Source organism: Homo sapiens, chromosome 14 (genome assembly GCF_000001405.40).
Source record: "Homo sapiens chromosome 14, GRCh38.p14 Primary Assembly".
NCBI classification, from domain to species: Eukaryota; Metazoa; Chordata; class Mammalia; order Primates; family Hominidae; genus Homo; species Homo sapiens.
The window spans coordinates 72,771,206-72,793,817 of record NC_000014.9 but is presented as its reverse complement, the minus strand read 5'-3'; the positions used below and the strand labels follow the sequence as shown (position 1 = coordinate 72,793,817).

The 22,612-nt window shown below is 47.3% G+C and overlaps 1 protein-coding gene across 4 annotated transcripts in view, besides 2 other annotated features; it reads left to right on the top strand.

Moving 5' to 3' along the window:
- Nucleotides 1-22,612, top strand: part of DPF3 (double PHD fingers 3) — a 285,068-nt gene that overhangs the window by 100,284 nt on the left and 162,172 nt on the right. For all 4 annotated transcript variants that reach the window (NM_001280542.3, NM_012074.5, NM_001280543.2 and 1 more), the window contains one exon: nucleotides 21,925-22,085. In NM_001280542.3, the coding sequence (NP_001267471.1) occupies nucleotides 21,925-22,085 (161 nt within the window). The remainder of the gene's footprint in view (nucleotides 1-21,924; nucleotides 22,086-22,612) is intronic.
- Nucleotides 2,558-3,058: an enhancer, noted in NCBI's record as "H3K4me1 hESC enhancer chr14:73257468-73257968 (GRCh37/hg19 assembly coordinates)". NCBI's record gives its function as "activates a minimal SCP1, AML or CMV promoter by ChIP-STARR-seq in naive H9 embryonic stem cells {active_cell/tissue: H9 hESC(naive)}" and the evidence as "EXISTENCE:reporter gene assay evidence [ECO:0000049][PMID:30033119]".
- Nucleotides 16,576-16,715: an enhancer, noted in NCBI's record as "active region_8688". NCBI's record gives its function as "activates an Ori minimal core promoter by ATAC-STARR-seq in GM12878 lymphoblastoid cells {active_cell/tissue: GM12878}" and the evidence as "EXISTENCE:reporter gene assay evidence [ECO:0000049][PMID:35858748]".

The following is a 22,612-nucleotide window of genomic DNA, read 5'->3' as shown; positions in this document are numbered from 1 at the left end:
TGTTATTAGGCTCCCACATCTGGACTGCTGGGCAGGTCCAATGAAAATCACGTTGAATTTGCCAGCATCATCTATGCAAGGGAGCTGCAGGCAAGTGAGAGGTGGGGACGGTGATCTGTCAATGTCTCTCTCTCCCCTGGGGCTTCCCCACCCCATCTTTGGATGCTCTACATGGCCCAGCTGGTGATTCAGGATGGATGTTGGATGCCGGCTTGTTAATTTCCTTTTTTCCTTCCTGGATATGGAAGAGAGATGGAGGTAGAGTGTGAGGATGGAGATAAACTTAGCATGAAGCTGCAGGGGGAGCCCATATGGCCTTGGCCTGCCTGGAGATTACCAGTGTCCTTATTAGACTGGCAGCTTGTGTGGATGCTTTTTGCCTTTTACTTTCTTTTACGTCTTGCTTTTGTGAGAAAGAGGAGAATTTACCACCAGTGAGCCTCATGCTGTACAATGAAGAGAAAGCAAGTGACCTCAGCTGTCTCTCCCCTCCCTCTGTCCCCAGGAGTGTCTTGTAAGCTTGAGTGGTCTTCTCCACCCAGCCAGTCCACATGGGGCAATGCTGCCTTGTTAAATGGCCAATGGCTGCGGTGTGACACTTTTGGTTTCCTTTCTTTCCAGATCTCCTTCAAATTATTACTTCATTTGCGGTAGTGATCAGAACAAGGCAGTTCTATTGATTTCTCTCCTTTCATTCTGAGTTTCTCCATAAATTAATTGGACCTAATCATGTTTGCAATCCTGTCTTTAGGGGGAATTGAACTTTCAGTGTTTAAAGGGAGGGACGGAGAATGATTTTGATTGGAGTGAGAGCATTCAAATTCTATTTGTGCAGAGATTTTAAGATAACACCCAGTTCTGTGTTTCAGCAGTGTTTTTTTTTTTTAAATTATTATTTTGAAGAACGGTCTCAGTTCTGGATATTTTCCTTGCAGTCTATAAAATGTTGTGGGAGCCATTCCCCTGGAGAAGCAGCAGCAGCAATCTAAGATTTGGAGGGGTTGAGGGAGAGAGGTTCAGGTCAGCTCTGGAGATTTGGGCCACACTGGGTCATTGGAAGTGGCCTCTGCTAACTGGACCTGGCTCCATCGAGACACAGCAGATGGGACTTCGCTGGGAGGGGTGAAATGGTCTGTAGGAGCAGGCGCTGCTACTGCGGGTCCTTGGAGTACTTTGTTACCCTGGGGACTGAGAGCTGGCCAGCAGTCATGTGGACCAAGGTCGGGAGGCTGTGCTGAGCCGGGTTCTCCAGGAGTCCATGGTGTGGACTATTTTGGGCTGTGTGGGGGAAGCGCTGTGGGGTGTGTGTGTGCAAGAGAGTGTGTTTGCCTCCAAGAATCGCTCCCAACACTAGAAATGTGGATTTCTTTTTCTTTTCTTTTCTTTCTTTTTTTCTTTTCTTTTTTTGCCATTGCTTCCTAAAAAATAAAAAGCGAAAGCCTTTGGATCTTGAGCGGTGTTCTCAGGGAATGTGCCTTTTGGCTGCAGAAAGGACTTAGGGAAGCACAGTCGGCTCCAGGTCCAGCGGCAGGAGGCCTTCCCCCTCTTTGTGTCACCCTGTCCCTCCCCTCCCCTTCAGAGTCTCCTCGTGACAGTCCTGGGCCTGACTCAGAGGGGTCTGTGCTTGCAGGCTTGTTTTCTTGAAATGCTGGTGTGTGCCCAAGGACGAGTGATGGCTCCTGGCTGGCTCTGCAGGAAGGAGCAGTGGGTCGGGGTTGGGGGCGGGGGTGGGGGGCATGTTCCAGCCCCCTGGCTGCTCAGCAGTCACTATGGCCAAACTGTGCCATGGTCCTTGGACAAAGTGACTCTAGGCAGCATGGAGCCCTCTGTGCCCTTTATCCTAACTGTCATCCTGCTCCACCTGATCTCCTCCCAGCCATGGGTGGCTGGCATCTCTGAGCTGCCTGCCTGGACTAGGTTCGAGTCTGTGGGCCTCCTGTCATTCAAAGGGATCGGTCATGAGGCAGCATGTACTGGTGGGGAATTAAGGCCTTATAGATTTGGGCTGACCTGGGATCTAATTCCAGTTCATCCACTTAGTAGTTTTGAGGTTTTGGTTAAATTCCTTAACCTCTGTGAACTTGTTTTTCTCGTCTTTTAACATGAAAGTGAATGTATGCAAATGGCAACCCAGAACCTGCCACATAGTAGTTGCTCAACAAATGATATTGTGATTTTGAAGCTGTGATGGCGGCTTTGTTTGAGGCACCAGGACATCATCTGAGGGGTCCCTTAACACCCCGCACAGGGGGAAGCTCCGAGCATAGGGGACCCCTGCATTGGACCCGATGCTCTCTGCTTTCTCCTAGTCTTGGGAGGACAGCTTGCTGTGGGCTTGCTGGGCTCCCCAGGGCACTGCTCTCCCTGGTGGGGCTGCCAGGGCAAACCTTCAAGCCAGCAAATCAACATTTATTTATAGGTCTTGGAGACAGAGAACAAACCCTGGCAGCAAAGAAGGGCCTGGTGAGGCAGCTGCAGTGACCAGGGGGCAGCGGCAGTGGTGGGGGACCTGGGGGAGGGGCAGAGGCCATGTAGCACTCATATGTCCGAGAGGCAGGGTTCCAGCAAAGCAGCAGCTCCACACGAAGTAAACTGAGGAGTGTTTAGTAACATGTCTAGTTTCAAAACTGCGGGCAGGGACTCACATGGTGGGGGGCTAGTGCAGCAGCCTAGGGCTAGGTCGGGGGAGTGGGGAAGGTCACCAGATTGCAGAGGTAGCTGTATGAAGAGGGCTGGCCCACAGGAGCTGTGACCTTCAGTGGGCAGATGCAGACACTCCACAGCAGGAAGGGGCGGGGAGAGGAAATCCCCTGTCTCTCTTCCCTCTCTCGGCACCTGCCATTGACCCAGACCACCAGGAGCAGAGGGAAGAGGGCAAATGGCTGACCATACAGGACAGACTTCCGCAGCACCCAGCAGGGAAAAGAATGGCAGAGAGAGAATCTGGAGGGACCAATGGAGGAGAGCCAGCACACAGAGGCCAGAGAAAGAGGCGATGGGGCTCTTGAGGGGGGAGAAGTAAGGCTGGGGACATTTTAGAGGTTCAGGGGTAAAGAGAATCATGTTACTGAGGGGACCCAGCCAGAGGCAATGAGGCAGAATGCTTAATATCATGGACTCAGGGGGACTGACAGAATGGGGGTTAAGTCTTACCCTATTTCTGTATGGTCTTGGGCAAGCTGTGTAACCTCTGAGTCTCAGTTTCCTCATCTGTAACATGAGAATGATAAAGACAATATTCTCTACCTCATATCAGGGTACAGTGAAATCCTAACCTACTCAGCAAGGTGCCTGGTACACTGTAAAGTCTAATAAATAAAGAACAGATAGATGAGTTTGCATAAAATAAAGTGTCCAATTAAGTAGCCATCATGTATTATGGAATGCTCAGTGGGGACATCAGACAATTCATTCATCCAACTCATATTTATATAGTGCCTACTATATGCTAGGGACCAGCTTTAGGCACTGGTGATAGAGGGGTGAACAAATTAGACCAGTCTTTCTCCCAGGAAGCTTTTATATCTATTGAGAAAAGCAGGTAGTAAATAAACATATACATTAATTAATTATTTTTTATTTATTATTATTTTTTAAGAGATGGGGTCTCGCTTTGTTGACCAGGCTGGTCTCGAGTTCCTGGTCTCAAGCAGTCCTCCCATCTCGGCCTCCCAAAGTGCTAGGATTACAGGCATGAGCCATTGTGCCTGGCCAATTAATTAATTTTAAGTAGGGAAGAGGTCTCACTATGTTGCCCAGGCTGGTCTTGAACTCCTGGGCTCAAGCAATCTGCCTGCCTTGGCCTCCCAAAGTGCTGGGATTACAGGCATGAGCCACCCACACCTAGCCTATAAAATAATTTTTGATAGTTGGCATCGTGCCAGAGTGATGGAAAAAGAATGAGTGCCAGAGCTAAGGAGTTTGGGGGAGGCCCCCTGAGGAGGGAGCAGTGAGTGGAGTCCTAAGGAGGAGGAGCACCAGCCCAGGTGCACCCAGGCTCATGCCTGTAATCCCAGCAGCACTTTGGGAAGCTGAGGCAGGTGGATCACTTGAGTCCAGGAGTTTGAGACCAGCCTGGGCAACAAAGTGAGACACGATCTCTCTTAAAAAAAGAAAAAAAAATTAGCTGGGAATGGTGGCACATGCCTGTAGTCCTAGCTACTGGGGTAGCTAAGTAGGTGAATTGCTTGAGCTCTGAAGATCGAGGCTGCAGTGAGCCATGCCACTGCACTCCTGAGTGACAGAGCTCCTGCACAGCCTGAGTGACAGAGCGAGACCATGTCTCAAAAAAAATTATTATTTTAGAAAAGGATGACTTAAATAAGCGGATAGATACAACACAAAATGTCCGAATCAGTCAGCAAACCTCTCCTACAGAGGCAGCGTGGTGTGGAGTGGTTAAGAGCCCAGACTCTGAAACAAGACCACCTGGTTCAAATCCTGACTTGGCCACTGACCAAGTGACCGTGGGCCTGTGACTGAAGCTGTCTGAGCTCCCAGGTCCTCAGCTGTATAATGAGGGGTAGTAGTAGCATCTCTTTCATAGGGTTGTTGTGGAGATGAAATGTGGTTCCTGTTTCTAAGCAGGGAGGGCACTGTCCCGCCCACTGTCAGGGCCATCTGGATGTTGTTACTGTTGCTCAGGTAGTCCTGATTCAGTACGGATGCAGTACCCATGTTCTCCAGGAGCTCACAGCCAGGACTGCAACGTGCGTTTAAAGAAACCACAGCAACCCAAAGCAACACGTGATGGTTTTCGAATAAGTAGCCACACCATTATTGGAGGGAGGCCTCACTGGAGGGCTGGACTGGGGATAGGAAGGCTTTGAGGAGGGATGTGAAGACTAGAAGATAAAATTAATCCTAACCAGGTCTGATGGCATCAGGTGAAGACAAAAATAATCATGTCAGTCTGCCCCAAAGCATTGCTTGGCCCTTCACACACTGTCTTTGGCAAGAGCCTATACTTCCTCAGGCCTGGCCTCAACTTTGGGACGTTAACTCTCATATCTACTGATAAGGGACAACCCACCAACCCCTTTGTTGGCCTTTACATCTGTTAAAAGTTGTTGTGACCCTTCCACCATCAACCTCCCCCTAGACTGGAGAGGCAAAGAAAGGTTAGAATTCAGAGGTCAGAAGTCAGGAGCCAGGGAGGTGGGGAGGAGGGCAGAGGGGGAGGGCAGTGTGGATGGAATTGACTAGAATCCTGTGTGTCTGGCAACTGGCAGATTCCTCTGGTAAGATAAGTGGAACCCTCTGCAAGGTAATTATTAGAGAGCATAAATTCCCCAGATAATCTGTCCTCCGAAGAGATATTGATGGCTGTGGGGCATGTGCTGGCGGTGCTCTCCCTCCACCCACAGTGACTCTGCGGCCCCCCTCCTCCTCCTCCTCCTCTTCCCCTTCCTTCTTTGTTGCTTCTTCCTCTGGTCCGCTGCCCTGCCCGGCCCTCCTCCCCACAGACCACAGCCTCTGCTTGCATGAGTTCTTCTGGATCTTTCTCAGTGCTCACCTCCTGCTCTTGTAATGACGAGATCCAGGACACAGTGTAGTCCTCCTGCATCCTGTGGTCCAGTAGGATTGGTGGTCGAGATGCAGCTGCCATGGGGAGGAGGAGTTTTCCAAGAACAGAAGGAGGGCTTGAGCTTCGCTTGTTCCAGGTCCCCAGAATGAACACTTACCAAGTGCATGCCCGTCAGGGTCAGGCACTGTGAAGGGCTGGGATCATACCCTGTCCCAGGGCTCAGGCGCTTAGCATGGCCAGGCAGTTAGGCACCTGTTGGTAGGTTTCTTTCACCTTACAGTACTCTCCAAAGCCCTCTCTTCTCTCCAGCACCTGTGGGCCTCCTGGGGAGCTCACACTTTGGCGAATATTCTCTAAATATTTGACAAATAAAAGAAGAGGCAAAGGCTGTGTGCATGGCAAATGGAGAAGCCGGGCCACCAGAGGCAGCCTCTCCTCTCTTGTCCTTAGCAGCTCAGTTCTGGCCCCGGACCTGCACCCCACCTCTTGACCAAACTGAACTTGTCTTCCTTAGAAGCCCATGTATTGCCATTACTGTCCGTGCCTTGGGCCACGTGTCTCACCTCACTCCCACCACAAACAGCTTATTAGTAGGGTGACTTTATCATTTATCAGCCAAGCAAGGGCGCTTTTGAGAGGGAAAAGTGTAATAATCATTACAGTGGGACCTTGATGCGAACTGGACTATTCCATGAAAGCCAGGTCCTATTTCTCAAAGTTCTCTGCCTGAGTGACACTAGTAAACCTTTCTATGTTCCTGGTAATGACTTAGTGTGATTAGAGACTGGAGCCCGGGTGCCACGTGGTTGGCCTGCCCCACCCCTTAATTTGGCTCTGCCCGTGTTCCATCATTTGGAATATGTGAAGACGATCTCTCCATTTGACGTGGGAGACCTGGGCCCAGAGGGCTTGAGAGATTTGCCAAAAACCCAAAGTGACTAAGTTCCAACTCCAATCTGGAATCCAGGTCTCTTGATTCCCACATCAGCCTAACAGGGGCAGACCCGCTTTTCCCTATTCCATGGGATGATAGAATGATGGCATAGCTGTGGGCTGGGCTTCTGTGGGCCGTGTGCATATCCTGATCACTTTCTGGGGAGGAAAGGGGTGTAAGCAGGGCATGGAGGCCCAGTAGGGAGAGGAAGCCATAAAGACAGTCTCTTCCATGCCTGGCTGTTCCTGAGGGTTCTATCTGGAGTGAGGGGCACAGGAGGGTTTTGGCGCCATCGCCTTTGACAGAGAAAATCAACTCTCTCTGAGTCCGCTCTGGAGAGAGGGCAATGCTCTCAAGTCTTCAGCTGCCTCAGCAGCAGCCTGCAACTCAACAGGAGGAAATTAGGGCTGTGCGCCTCTAGGATGTGTCCTTTCGCCCATTGGCCAACAGCATTTCCTAGATGAAACAGGGCTTTCAAGGGAGGCTAGAAAAAAGCAAACAAACGAATTTTCAGCTATGAGTTTTGCTTGCTGTAGTTAACAATAATTATTAAATAGGTAGGGTGAGCTAGTGCTTGTTTTCCTTATTATTAACTGTATTTATGGGTTTTTATTAGGTTGTACCAAGCTGAGATAATTGTAAAACTATCTGCTTAAGCTGTGTGACTCTTAGGTTTCCTATTCTATTATTTTGTATTCTGAGGGTGGAGGCTTTTCATTATTCAAGGCTTATGTTAAAAACCAGGAGTCGGCAAACTTTTTCTGTAAAGGTCCAGATGGTAAATATTTTAGGCTTTGCAGGCCACATGGTCTCTGTTGGAACTACTCGACTCTGTCATTTCAGCACAAAAGCTGCCACAGACAATATGTAAACGGATGGGCATGGCTTGCCTCCCATAAAACTTTATTTACAAAAATTAGTCCTGGGCTATGTTTGGCCGAGGGGCTGTAGTTTGTTGACCCTTGCCATAAACGATGGAGGAATCCCTGAACTAGGAGTCTGGACTGAGGATCTGATCCCAGCTCTGCCTCGGTATGTCCCGAGGACGTCACCTCACCTCTGTGGTTATTGATTTTCTTTTTCTTTTTTTTTTTTAGGTGGAGTCTCGCTCTGTTGCCCAGGTTGGAGTGCAATGGCACAATCTCGGCTCACTGCAACCTCCGCTTCCCGGGTTTAAGCGATTCTCCTGCCTCAGCCTCCTGAGTAGCTGGGACTACAGGCATGCACCACCATGCCTGGCTAATTTTTTGTATTTTTAGTAGAAATGGAGTTTCACCAAGTTGGCCAGGCTAGTCTCGAACTCCTGACCTCAGGTGATCCACCCGCCTCGGCTTCCCAAAATGTTGGCATTACAGGCGTGAGCCACTGCACCTGGCCTGGTTATTGATTTCCTTTGCAATAAAACCAGGCACCAGACTAGACAGTGTCTAACATTCTGGGATTCTTTAATCTGACCCTTTAGTTTATGACTTTCTGGCATTTCTCTTTTTCTGCCTTAGTTGATGTTCAGAACCACAGGGCCTCTTCAAGTCCATCGCCCCTTGCTCACATTTGGGATGGATTTGGTTTCTAAACTGCATAATGACATTTTGTATTTCTCTGATGGCATATTTTCAGGAAGCCCCATATTAACTTTTTTTGAGTTACTGAGAGGTGGCTCTGTGATAAGAAGGTTTATTTCTGGGCTATTTGGCAGTTTGGGATACTGAGGCACAAAGAAAAGAAATAGCTAAGATTAGCTAGCAAGTTGGTGATGCTGATAGAAACCTCCAAGAAAGGAAGTGTTCTAGTGCCTCCAAGAAAGGAAGTGTTCAGGTTATTCTAGTTCTGGAGGCAAAACTCATTGTGAGGGGGTAATGGCGCCCTTGTAAGAGGCTGACAGTGCAGTGGCCAAGAGTAAGGTTCTGGCAAGACTGTAATGTATTAACAAGGCCACATAGATCCTTAGCAAATCACGTAAGACTCTCTGTGCCTCAGTTTGCCAATCTGTAAAGTGGGGTGTGTGAGGGGGTGGGTATAAAATCATGGAGTTGTATGGGAATAATACAATTACAAGTTGTATGGGGATAATACATGTAAAGTGCTTAGAACAGTGCCTGGCACACATAGTAAATGCTCAATAAATATTAGCTATGCCACTATTGCTACTATAACCAGCATCCTGTTATCCTTCTGTAAATATGTCCAGGGTGTCTCTTCTTCATTAAAACATTTTTTTATTTTTTATTTTTTTGTAGAGACGGGGATCTCACTATGTTGCCCAGGCTGGTATTCAACTCCTGGCCTCAAGTGATTCTCCTGCCTTGGCCTCCCAAAGTGCTGGGATTCCAGGCATGAGCTGCTGTGCCTGGCCTTTTCTTTATTTTCATACCATATTCATTTTCAACTTTTTTTTTTTTGAGGCGGTGTTTTGCTCTTGTTGCCCAGGCTGGAGTGTAATGGTGCGATCTCAGCTCACTGCAACCTCCGCCTTCTGGGTTCAAGCCATTCTCCTGCCTCAGCCTCCTAAGTAGCTGGAACTACAGGCACCTGCTACCAAGCCTGGCTAATTTTTGTAGTTTTAGTAGAGACGGTTTTTCACCAAGTTGGCCAGGGTGCTTGAACTCCTGGTCTCAAGCAGTCTTCCCACCTTGGCCTCCCAAAGTGTTAGGATTACAGGCGTGAGCCCCTGTGCCTGGCCCATTTTCAACTTTTGAATTGGAGACTTAGGCTGACCGCTTTGCTCCTGGCCTGTATGATAAATGACTCTTGATGAGGTGGACGAATTGGGAAAGAAGATGGTAGAGGGGAAAGGTCTGGGAAGCAAGGGAGAATGGGAACCTGGGAAAATAAGTATAGTGGGGGAAGGAAAATCAGATTCTAGATTCAGCCAAGCTCCCCAGTATTTTTTGGGATGAGAAGAAAATGAGATTTCCCTCCGGCAGTACAGAGGTTTTGGTATCCTTTGTCGTTATCCTGGCATGTAGAGGTGTTGAGGGCAGATTTAGGCATTTCTAGGGTGCACTCAAGATTTCAGTTTCAGTCATCTTGGTTCCCAGTGTATTTTTACTTCCTCCACCACCAGGCAACTTAAGTTTGGGGACATAACCAGCCTCTTGGTCAGTCTGGCTTTGTTCTATTTACAAGTATGTGCCTCCAAAAATGGCAGGTCTGAGACAGTTTTCCTAGGAGGCTGCCAAGAGAGATTGGGGTGACTCTCAACTTTGCGGCGGGTGAAATGAGACTCAGTGCTTCTTTGTTTGGCTGGATGTCCCTTAGAAGGGCTGCCTGGAGATCATTTGGTGTGCAGGACATTTGCTTCTGCAGGCTGATTTTAACCAACTCTGACAGGAGGGCAGAGGCCCCCAAGCGAGGTCAGGACCACAAATCCCATGCCAGCAGGTGCGTGATGGGGAGACTGCGCCCTCCGGATGACCTTCAGTTCCCATTGATTTCCTGTCAAGCAGCCCCACCCCCATCCTGCCGCTGCCCCTGGCACCACCCGTGGGCCCAGGGCTCTGCAGGAGGACACGGATCAGCTCTGCAGGAAAGACCATGCAGAAGAGGTTAGTCCAGAGAGAGGCCCTTTGAGGGACATGGGATGGGTATGTTGGAGACCATCTTCTGGCACTGCTAGTTTCCGGTGCCAATATCAGGCCTGGAATGTGCCTTTTGGGCATAGAAAGCAATGTCTGATGTCTTGAATGGCATCGTTTATCTACCTCACCCCAGTCTCTCTCCAGGTTTGGGGTATGTGGGTGGCCATGATCAAGATTTGAGTGTGGACTGTGGACTGTGCCACTGACCTGCTGTCATTTATGTTGTGTTGGGCAGAAAGGGCCAGGAATCAGGTGGTGGCAGCTGTGTGATTCTTATTCCCTGTGCTGGGGGTCTCCTGCCAGCACTGACTTCCAGCCTTCTACAAGGCCAGGATTCGGTATCATTCAAGCTGTCAGTTGCAGGTGGGCCTAGAGCTTTCATTTTTTTGTTGAGTGATATGTGTCGAGCATTTCCTATGTGCCAAGTCTTGCGTTGGGGGCTGGGAATCTGATGAGACAAGGACGCTGCTCTCGTGGCACTTGCAATTTAGTTGTGTATAGATGATCAGTAGGCAAAGAGAAAAACTTTGATAGTGGTGTTATGAAAAAAATAAAGTATATGAGATAGCAAAGGGTAGGGCAGGGTTGGGGTGGGGTGGGCTACTTCCAGATAGGGTGAACCTAAGAAGACATCTCAGAGGAGCAGTCAGCTACAAGAAGATCTGGGAGAAGCATGTCATGCCAGGTAGAGGAGATGGCATATGCAAAGGTCCTGAGGTGAGATACCCTTAGTATAGAAGAGGAACAGAAAGGAGTGCAGTGAGGATGGAGCCCAGCGGGGAAGGAGGCAGGGGACAGGATGAAGCAGGAAAGGTGAGCCCAGCCAGCCTGGGGACCTGTAGCCATGGGAAGGAGTTTGGATTTTGCTCTGAGTGCAGTGAGAAGACATTGGAGGTGTTAGTAGGAGAGAATGCCATGGCCTGATTTCCACTTTTTTTTTTTCTTTGAGATGGAGTCTCGCTCTGTCGCCCAGGCTGGAGTGCAGTGGTGCAATCTCGGCTCACTGCAACCTCTGTCTTCCAGGTTCAAGTGATTCTCCCGCCTCAGCCTCCCATGTAGCTGGGACTGCAGGTGTCCGCCATTACACCTGGCTAATTTTTGTATTTTTAGTAGAGACGGGATTTCACTGTGTTGGCCAGGCTGATCTCGAACTCCTGACCTCGTGACCCACCCACCTCAGCCTCCCAAAGTGCTGGGATTACAGGCGTGGGCCACCGTGCCCAGCCCTGATTTCTGTTTTTAAAAGATCACTGGGGCTGGTTATAGTGGATCACACCTGTAATCCCAGGTCTTTGGGAGACTGAGACGGGCTGACTGCTTGAGCCCCGGAGTTCCAGACCAGGCTGGGCAACATGGCAAAACCCTGCCTCTATAAAAAAATACAAAAATTAGCCAAGTGTGGTGGCGTGTGTCTGTAGTCCCAGCTACTCTGGAGGCTGAGGTGGGAGGATTGCTTGAATCTGGGAGGTGGAGGCTACACTCCTCCACTGCACCACTGCAATCCAGCCTGGGCAACAGAGCAAAACCTTGTTTCAAAAAAAAAAAAAAAAATCACTTGGGCTGCTGTATAGAGAATTGACTATAGAACAACATGTTCTTTGTGGCCGTGTTAAATACCAGACCGATATTCCCTTTACTGGGGAGGGCAGCACCCTTTGCATTCCAGTGGCAAAGATGAGGGCTGGGGATCTGTTTGTCTAAGAATTTTCTCTAATCAATAGTCTGCTTCTATAGGCGATCACACTCAGGAGGCAACATCCGAGTGCCCAGCTCATAGTGAGAGTTTCAGGAAGGACTCAGTCTGTGGACCAGGAAACTAAAAATATTTTCTCAATCAATGAAATTTCTGTGACGGATGCATGTTTTCTTTCTAGGTATGATTCACCCTAGATAAAGCAGGCTTCTCCACCACCTCACTTTTGTTGCATTCTACACATTCTTTAGCCTCCAGAGGAGAGATTTATTTGGTCACGTCTGGATGCCATTTGAAAGGCAAACCTTGGGTACAAGAAAAGCTACGGTCCTCTTCCTCCCCGGAGCGTCCCCTTCCCACCTCCCCCGCCACCCCACCATTATTTACTGGAAGGAATCACACTGCTTTTATCCTGCCACCAGTCTCTTGTCCTTGGCAGCTCCTTGACTTCAACCTCGAGATGTGTATGTCATCAGAACACCCAGTGGCGGCTCAGAAATCATGGCCAGGTTCAATATAAATTCTGTCTTGCTTAGGCAGCTTTGCATAATAAGTCCCTGAAAAGTCTTCACCAGGGTAGATGCTGGAAAAGGGATTTATTGGGTCTACTGGGCCTGAACATCAGACTGAGCCACATCGAAGTCATGATGGATGTTTTAGGGTTCAAGCTGTTTGTCGGACATAACTTTCCCAAGGGATACCTTTGTCCCCAATGTGCCCTTCCTGAGATGTTTTGAAGGTCAGAGCCACCCACAGAATGACTAAGGATGTCAGATCTTCATACATTTGCCTTGACCAGGGCTTTTGGCAATTTTGTTAGGGATGAGGACTTTTGTGGGATTAGTCTGCTGCAGGTTAGTGCTGCCAGGGTAATCCATGCCAGCTGCCTGAAAGAAGTTTTCCCACAGAAACAAAACCAGCTGAATGAAACAAAGTCTGCTAACTGGGCCGTCCAGCTCTGCCATTCAAACATGGTGGCTGAGGAGCAACACAAGTCCCCTCTCATTCATGCCCTTGTTTTAGAGGTTGGGGAGCTATCTTTAGATCAGCTAGTCTCAAATTTCTCAGGATCACTGGGGAGCTGATGTCTGGATCACATCCCAAGCCTCTAGAATCAGAATTGCACAGCTTCCCACCCCTTAGCGATTCTTTCACAATCCTGAGTTTGAGAGCATTCTTTTGGAGCATGTGGTGATGGCATTCTCACTAAGCACAAGAAGGGCATTTCTACCCATGCAGAGAAGGAGCTGGTTTTCCTGGCATAGGTCTGATGTCAGCAGCATTGAGAATCAGTGAGCTTCTTGTAAAGTTCAGAGAAGGAGAATGTCAGTTCTGTGGCACCTTGCAGGGTAGCATGAATTTGCACATGGAGAAATGAAAATCTCAGGAGCTGAAGTGACCTTTTTTTAAGGATATGGGAAAAAACTCAATAGGATTTGAACTTGGAGGATATCTATTTTCAGATGCCTAATCCTGGGCTCTGGAGAAGTAGCCAGATAACTTCAGGCTCACCTCATGTTCCCATGGAGAAAGTTAGAACGTTCCAAGCACCTCTCAACTGTGAAGCTTTCATTAGTTTGCTGAGGATGACATGATAGTTCAGTCAAGCAATGTATCTATCACATGCTTCTACATTCCCAGTACTGTGCATGGTTGGGTAGCATGCAAGCACATAGCTCTCAGTTCCTGTCTTTAAGATACTTCCAATCTAATTAAGTGAGCAGAGATAAGGAAGGTGGCAAAGACCATCAAAAATAAAGTAAGACAGATAAGGTAGCTCAGAGAAGCCAGAGAGCAAACCCTACTGGTAGAGATAACCTGTGAACCTTCCTGGAAGAAGCAAGTTTTCAGCCAGCTCTTGACTAGGCTAAGATCAGCCAGGACAAGGACAGAATACAAAAATTCCAGGTGGGAGGAAGGATATAAGTAAAGTGTTTTGTTGAGATTCAGGGGTAGGGCTGTCTGTTTCATATATGCAGGGGGGTCAGAGGAGGATTCATTCATTCACTCATTCACTCATCATTTACCCAATGTGGCAGGCATGACCCAGCATGTACTAGGCTTTGGGAGAGAGCAGTAAACAAGCCAGATGTGGTCTCTGTGCTTAGGGCAGTCCTTGGGTGGATTGCTGGGGTCACCATGCATCAGCTGCCCTGCTCTCCTGGATGCCTGAGGCTCAGCCTTGGTGACCCAGAGGCCTTCTGTCCTGGGACAGAGGTTTGAGTGGGTCCCCGACAGCCTCAAGGACACCGCAATAGTGAGTGTTGCATCACATGGTGGGTATCAGCCTGCTCAGGCAGAGGGTCATGCCACAAAGTGGCAGCAAGTACTGCACTTTGGGGAAGGAGAAAGGAATGGCTATTGATTGCAGACTTTTATGTCTGTGTGCCAGAGGTTCTAGCTTATTAAATTTTCTCAGGTCTGAAGTAGAGATTATATTACCCATATTGTGAGTAGTAGAATTTAGGCCCAGGGAGGGTAAGTAACTTGCTGAGGGTTGTGTAGCTATTAAGAGGTGGAGCTGGACTCAGACATGACCAATTCCAAGTCTTGATTTTCCACTTTACCCCAATACATAGTTTTTCCGGGTGCATCCCCAGCCCAGCAGAGGAACCTGGGCACCATTGGGAGCCATCTTGGGTTCTACACTGAGGAGTTTGAAAGACTAAACACTGAGTTTCAGGGAGAATTCCTTTTGTCAGGATGGGTAAGAGTAGGGCTATAGCGCTTGCAGTTAGGCCACCCAGTGCTGCAATGTCCCAGGTGCTGGGTGATGAGGACTACAGGAGAGTGAATGCAGACATTCTCTCAATGTTTTTCTGAAGCTGCAAGTGGACAGCCATCCAGTTTAAATTGCCAGTCACAGACTCTGCAGACTGTGCACAAGCATGCCACATTAGCCTTCCTGCTGTAATTTAAATGCCTGCCCTAGGTGAGTGGAATGTGAGTTGTCAAATGCTTTTCAATGGAGACTTACTGGGCACCTGTTATGTGCCAGGCTCTGTGCTGAACACTGCGGGTAAATCAGCAAGAAGGCCAGGCAGGTATGCAGGAGTGCTGGGCTCCACCACTCCAGGGGGTGGCCTTCATATTGACGCTGATGTGAATGGTACTTGCTGGAGTTGTTCAGCCTGAGTGTCTGTGTGCAGTGGCTCTGCAGATGTGGCCTCTGCCCTCATGGAGTTTATAGTCTAGTAGAGAAGACAAATACTAAACATTGAATTGAGTTGAAATTGATATTATAGTGTTATTATTGTTGTCTTTGTTAGAAGAAGAAAAAATGTGGAAGGAAAGGGGATTGGAATCTCTCTCACCTGTCCTCCTTAGCCCTTTTTTGGGAAACATCCAGAAACACTTCCTCAGTCATGTCCAGCTGCTGTATTAAAATGGCATAGACTGGGTAGCTTAAACCGGAAGTCCCCAACCTTTCTGGCACCAGGGACTGGTTTCATGGAAGATCATTTTTCCACCGACTGGGGTCGGGGAGGGGATGGTTTTGGGATGATTCAAGTGCATTACATTTATTGTGCACCTTATTTCTGTTATTATTACATTGTAATATGTAATGAAATAATTTTACAACTCACTATAATGTAGAATCAGTGGGAGCTCTGAGCTTGTTTTCCTGCAACTAGACAGTCTCATCTGGGGTTGATGGGAGACAGTGACAGATCATCAAGCATTAGATTCTCATAAGGAGTGGGCAACCTAGATCCCTCATATGTGCAGTTCACAGTAGGGTTTGCGCTTCTATGAGACTCTAGTGCTGCCATTGATCTGACAGGAGGCAGAGCTCAGGCAGCAATGCTCACTTGTACCCCACAGCTCACCTCCTGCTGTGCCACCCAGTTCCTAACAGGCATGGACTGGTACTGCTCTGTGGCCCAGGGGTTTGGGACCCCTGGCTTAAATAATTGTCTGTCACAGTTCTGGAGGCTGGGAAGTTCAAGATGAGGGTGCTAGCAGGGTCAGATTCCAGGTAAGAGTCCTCCTTATAGCTCACATACAGCTGCCTTTTTGTGTCCTCTCATGGCAGAGATTGAGAGAGTGAGAGAGCTTGCTCATGTCTCTGCCTTATATGGGCCCTAATCCCATCATGAGGGCTCCATCCTCCTGACCTGATTACCTCCTGGATTAGGCCATTCTTGTATTGCTATAAAGAAATACCTGAGATTTGGTAATTTATAAAGAACAGGTTTAATTGGCTCATCGTTCTGCAGGCTGTACAGGAAGCACAGTGCTGGCATCTGCTTGGCTTCTGGGGAGCCCTCAGGAAACTTACAATCATGGCAGAAGGCAAAGGGGGAGGAGGCATGTCACATGATAAAAACAGGAGCAAGAGAGAGAGAGTCAGCAGGGAGGCACCATACACTTTTAAATGACCAGATCTTGCAAGAACTCACTTGCTATCACGAAGACAGCACCAAGCCATGAGGGATGTGCCCACATGATCTAAACACCTCCCACTAGGCCCCACCCCCAGAGTTGGGGATTACAATTCAACATGAGATTTGGGCAGGGGTAAATATCAAATGATATCACCTCCCAAATGCTCCATCTCCAAACACCATCACATTGAGGGTTAGGCCTTCAACATGTGGATTTTTTCTGTGAGGAGGAACGACACAATTCAGTCTGTAACAAACACTAAACTTGGTCTTCTTTCAAGAGATGCATTAGGAACAGGACCACTTCAAGGAAAATAAAAACTTTCCCGCACCTTGCCAGATATTGCCCCCTGTGTGCCAGTTATTCTAAAAGACTAAATGGGAGACGGAGCTTTCCATGAACAGTTTGAGTTAAACATGTTTAAATGCAAATAGCAGGAAGTTAGCATATTGGTGTAGATGAGCTTTCGTGTGTGTTTGTGGGCGGCTCTGGCGGTGTGAACAGCTGAGTGAGACAGCAGGAAAACTTGGTGCCCACAGTGAGGAAGAGGCGCCTCTGGGGGAAGGAGAGCCCCCACAATCCTGCCACAGGCCAGGGCTTCTCTTCAGCTCTGCTTATCTCTGCTTCTGTGCACAGATAGTAGTGATGGGCCAAGGTCCTGTTTACACAGCAAAGGGGACTTGGGGCCACACAGGGGGAGTGGAGAGAAAGGACGACTTCCTGATAAATGAAATAACTCAGTTCCAGATGGTTTGAAGGCAAGGGGAGAGTCAAGGCCAAGTTGCTAGGGAGAGGGAGGGCAGCATAGCCTCGGCCCCCACCCCCACCCCCGCCCCTAGGAGGATTGAGACTTGAGTGGGCGGGAGCAGGCTTCTGGCAGAAGATGAGAAACTTGCTATTGGACTCACATTTCTGGTATGGCAGGACACCTGTCCTCAGGTCAGAGCACAGAACCAGAGAGACAGTGAAAGGGAGGAGCCCAGGTGTCTGGCTGGACCTGAGAGTGATCTGAGAAATCGGAGCAAGCAGGTGTGGTCTTGAGAGCAGGAGGTTGGAGGAAGAGGAGCAGAGGGTCTTAGAGGGGTTGTGATTGATGGGCTCTGAAAAATCACATTTGGAGCCTGGTTGGCAGTCACTTTGGAGAAGTCTCATCTTTCCCATTCTGAGTCTTCTTTGGCCCCCTGGAGTCCATCTCCACAGATAGGCTCAAGGAGGGTTGCTGGAAATCTCATGTAGAAACACTCAGCTCTCAGAGCTGGGCTGGCTTCTCAATTCAGATGGGATCACAGAAGTACCTCCATCACTCACAAAGCCCCCTAGAACTAGGCAGCCAGCACTGCTGCAACCAGAATGCTGTCTGGGGAGCCTGGGGAGCCCAGCAATTTGTTTCCCTTGCCTTTCCTATTTCTGATTGCAGCCTTGAGTAGCCTGAAGTCAGTTGTTGATAAGAACATCATTCTACCCTGCCTTGTGCCAGCTTCCTCTAGCCTAAGACATCAATCATCCCTTGGGGATCCAGCCCCCTCAGTTTGGTGCATGCAGGTGATGGCTGGGACTGTCCCATGTGTGATCCAACCCAGGGTACACTGGTCACCACTCCACAGATGAGTCATTTGCTGCCAGCCTTTCCCTGCTCCATCTGACGCCTTCAACTTTAATGTAAATGTCACTCCTGGGATCCCATCATTGTGGGATTTTTTTTTTTTTTTTTGGCAGAAATACCATGTTGGAAAGGACATTTGTCCTCTGCTGTTTAAATTGCTTTCTACGGGTTAGGGAGAACTAGTCATTGATTTTCTTCTAGAGAGCATAGCAAGCCCTGTGACGATTTTGGCTAATTAACTTTTGGAGAAGTGCTTCTTGAATTTATCAGGGAGGATGAAATCTCTTTTCTCCTCTTATATCTTGAAAAAGGCTTTAAATTTTGGTTCCGAATCTCTGCCAACACCTGGTCTGTTTAAAAGGACTTCCCTGGAGATGATGGTAGAGGGGCTGTTGAATGTCATGTTTTTGCAGCTTCGATCTTTAATACAGTTGTTCCAGTCCACAGAAAGTCTTTTCTGTTTACATAAGACAGGTATCATTCACACAAAGATTATATTTAGAAATATACATTTTCCCCCAGCATGCTTGTAACTAATAACATTGCATGTTATGAAAGTAGAAAGTATTTAAGATGAAATTAATTTTCGCCCAGTGTGCCACTTTGTTTGACATTCTCGATCCAGTTGGTGTGGAGCACCAGTGTTGGCCAACCTCACTTTGCATTTTTAGCAAGTTCAGTTTCTTGTTCCTCTTGTCTGGATTGACGCTGTTGGAAGTGAGTTACTAGCATATTAGGACAAGTCCAATTTGGAATCCTACTGTGTAGATTTCTTTTGTATTGGTTTCCAGAAATTTATTTTGAAAGTGATCATCTCCAGTAGATGAGTTTTGCTATACAATTTTTCATTTTGTTTTTTTGGGGGGCCTGATTTTATGGGTTCTCTTTTCAGCAGAATTTCTGAGGTTGGGATAATTAACATCTTTTTTTTTTGGCAGTCTGTCAGAAGGTCCTGGGAAAACAGATTGCTGCTCTCACGTTGGACACCTCTCTGTCAAATGTTCTTGTCAGTTCTCTATCGATGTGGTATGGCTGCTTGCTGTTTCATGGGTGGGGGCTGGAGCATCCAGGATACCCTGAACAGCCTGGGTCATCTTGTCTGGGCCAAGCTGCCTGTGAAAGTTCTGTTCCACTGAGCTACATCGCCATAGCAGAAGGAAGCATTTAAGCTGGTGTGACACAAACACTTTGTAAAAAGTGGTTCTTTATTTTTGATCAATCTCATGATCCTTGTTACCAGCTTTGATTACATCAGCTTATGTGCCATTCAGTTTTATAGCATTGTAATGGGCTTTCATCTCCCCTCCCCAATTCATTTCCAGCTGCGTGACTATTACAATTTGATTACAGTTTGGTTTTGCAACTGCCAGGACACTTTCTGAGCGTATTATGCCTCCCTTATGAATGTGAAGATGTTCAGAGGTGAAAAAGGAGCAAAGGGTTTTTGTTTTGTTGTTTGTTTTTTTTTGGATGCTTGTCAACAAGTAATTTCCAAATGATGCCTCAGAAGCTTCCAGGGTTGTGTTTTCCCACAGTAAGATATTTGCTTTAAGCTCTTTGTTAGAACCTGACCCGTTGACTTTTTAAAAAGAGTATAGAAAAGTGCATTTAAAACTTTGCTTTCTAACAAGTGGTGATGAGAATGTGGAGTAGTTGGAACCCTTGTACACTGTTGGTAGAAATGGAAAATGGTACAGCTGCCATGAAAAACAGTATGGTGGTTCCTCAAAAAATGAAAACTAGAGCTACCATATGACTCAGCAATTCTACTCCTGAGTATATACCTAAAAGAACTGAAAGCAGGTTTTTTTTTTTTTTTTTTTTTTTTTTTAGACAGAGTCTCACCCTGTCGCCCAGGCTGGAGTGCAGTGGCACAATCCCAACTCACCACAACCTTCTGAGTTCAAGCGACTCTTGAGTAGCTGGGATTACAGGCGTCTGCCACCAGGCCCAGCTAATTTTTGTATTTTTAGTAGAGACGGGGTGTCACCATGTTGGCCAGGCTGGTCTCGAACTCCTGACCTCAGGCGATCCACCCACCTCAGCCTCCCAAAGTGCTGGGATTACAGGCATGAGCCACTGCGCCCAGCCTGAAAGCAGGGTTTTGAAAAGATATTTGTATACTCATGTTCATAGCAGCATTATTCAGAATAGCTAAAATGTGGAAGCAACCCAGATATCCACTGACAGATGAATGGATAAGCAAAATGTGGTATATGCATACAATGGAATATTATTCTGACTTAAAAAATATTATTCTGACTTAAAATATTATTCTGACTTAAAAAGGAAGGAAATTCTGACATATGCTATAATATAGGTTAACCCTGAGGATATTATGCTAAGTCAAATAAGCCAGTCACAAAAAGACAAATACTGTATGACTCCACTTTTATGAAGTACTTGGAGTAGTCAGAATCATAGAGATAGAAAGCAGATTGGTAGTTGCTGGAGATGGGGGCAGAGGCGGAACGGGGAGTTATTGTTTAATGGGTATAGTGTTTCAGTTTTGCAAGATGAAAAGAGTTCTGGGAATGGATAGTAGTGGTGGTCGTACAACAGTATGCATGTGCTTAATGCCACTGAACTGTACACTTAAACTGTACACTTAAGATGGGAAATTTTATGTTATGTGTATTTTACCACAATTAAGAAATTGAGGCCAGGCATGGTGGCTCACGCCTGTAATCCCAGCACTTTGGGAGGCTGAGGCGGGTGGATCGCCTGAGGTCAGGAGTTTGAGACCAGCCTGACCAATATAGTGAAACTCTGTCTCTACTAAAAATATAAAAAATTAGCCGGGCATGGTGGCAGGTACCTATAATCCCAGCTACTCAGGAGGCTGAGGCAGGAGAATCGTTTGAACCCAGGAGGTGGAGGTTGCAGTGAGCTGAGATCGCACCGTTGCACTCCAGCCTGGGCGACGGAGTGAGACTCCATCTCAAAAAAAAAAAAAAAAACCCAAAAAACCCAACACCCCAATTTTGCTTTTTTTATTCCTCTAAATACTTTGGTTAAGAAATGATATTTTTAGAGACTTCCCCTCTCATTTTGGCTTTCTGAAATCTACATAGAACCAAAACAAAAAGATATCATAATGTTGCTTCAGAATAAACACTTGATTCTCCCTTTTGCCCCTGTGAACTCTGTGGCTCCTTCCCTTCCTACTTCTTCTTCCCACACTCCACTCCTTTGCGTCCACTGCCCCCCGACCCCAGTAAGAGGCTTGAATTTACCTGGCATAAGTTATGTTATTACATTTGTATTTCTTTGAGGCATTTATTAACCTGTGCCTATGTTTTATTTGGTAGGTATTTGATCTCATTGATTATTTTAGTGCTTTGCATTTGATCAATTATATCAATGCTCCATTTTTGGTCTTTGAAAAGGACACTACCTTAAAATTAGTAGCATCACCACGTGTCCAAAAATACCAAAGAGTCAGGAACGTAAAATATACTGTGCTTAATCAGATTCTCAGTCTAGCAAACCAGAAAGGTCTTTCTATTTGTTTTTTAAACTCCATGAGTTGAATTATTTTGAATTTAAAATTGTTGAATTCTGTTTGTTTTCTATCGGAAAGTTATTTTTCTTTAAGTAATATGGTTTTAAAAGATTGGTGCCTGTTCCTCTACACCCCCTTCTTCCTGCAATTTCCCTACTTTTATAGAATGTTTTTTCTGTCCTAGTTTTTGTTTATATGGAGTGTTTCTCTTCTGTTGTAATGGAAAACTGAGTATCTTTGCTGGTGATTTGGGTTCACCTAGAGTGCCTTTGCTGGTGACCTCTGAGAATAAAATGTAGCTAATATGAGTGAGGAGGTTCTAGAAGTGTGATGTCCTCTAGATTCCATGCAGAAGGTTGTTCCAGAGCTACTTCCCTTCTGGAGTGGGACCTCATGCTTCCTAGAACATGGACAGCTCTCTCTTACTGGTGATTCATCCTTGGAAGCCCATGCTCTTTGTTAAAGGAGTTTCTAAGTTGCCTGGTGGATTTGGGATAGAAAATAAAATCTAGTCAAGACCTGACATTGAGTTGCATTCTGCTCATTGGCAAGGCTCTTGGTGCTCATTGCCTTGGTCTTCATAACTGGGAGGTCTTCAGTCTTTCCAGGGAGGTGTGTTTCCCTCTGGGTGTGTTTCCCTCTGGGTGTGTTTCAGTCTTCCCTGGCCTCACCCCTTCACTCTCTGACTCTGGCAGGCTCGGGGACCAGTTCTACAAGGAAGCCATTGAGCACTGCCGGAGTTACAACTCACGGCTGTGTGCAGAGCGCAGCGTGCGTCTTCCCTTCCTGGACTCACAGACTGGGGTGGCCCAGAACAACTGCTACATCTGGATGGAGAAGAGGCACCGAGGCCCAGGTGAGCTGCGCCACTCCTGGGACATGCGCATGTGCAGGCTCCCAGCCTGGAGGGAGGAGGACCGCAGCTTGTCTGGGAAACCAGGCAGCCTGGGTAGGATCGGGGTGGGGCAAGCTGCACATGGGCCTCTGAGATACCTTAAAGAAGCTCAGCTACTTTTATGGCTCCTGGCAGGTGTTTCAAGGAATGTGACAAGGATGGTGTGGGGCATTGAAGCCATGTGGCAGGGGTGGGGTGGGGTGGGGAGTGAAAGAGCTAAAGGTGTTTATCCCAAAGAAGGCAAGACTGAGGACATGACAGCAATCTTCATCTTTTACCTTTGGGTGTTGGTTACAAGCCGGAAATCTGCCATTAGATCTGGGTGTGAGGCTTACCTTTGTCACCAAACTTCTGTCCCTCAGGTTCCTCATCTGTAAAATGTGAATAATAATAGTACTTACCACATAAGATTTCGTCTGAATTAAATGAGAAAATTTATAAAAACTCTTAAATGAGTTTAGCACATAGCAAGTATGTGCTTCCAAAAT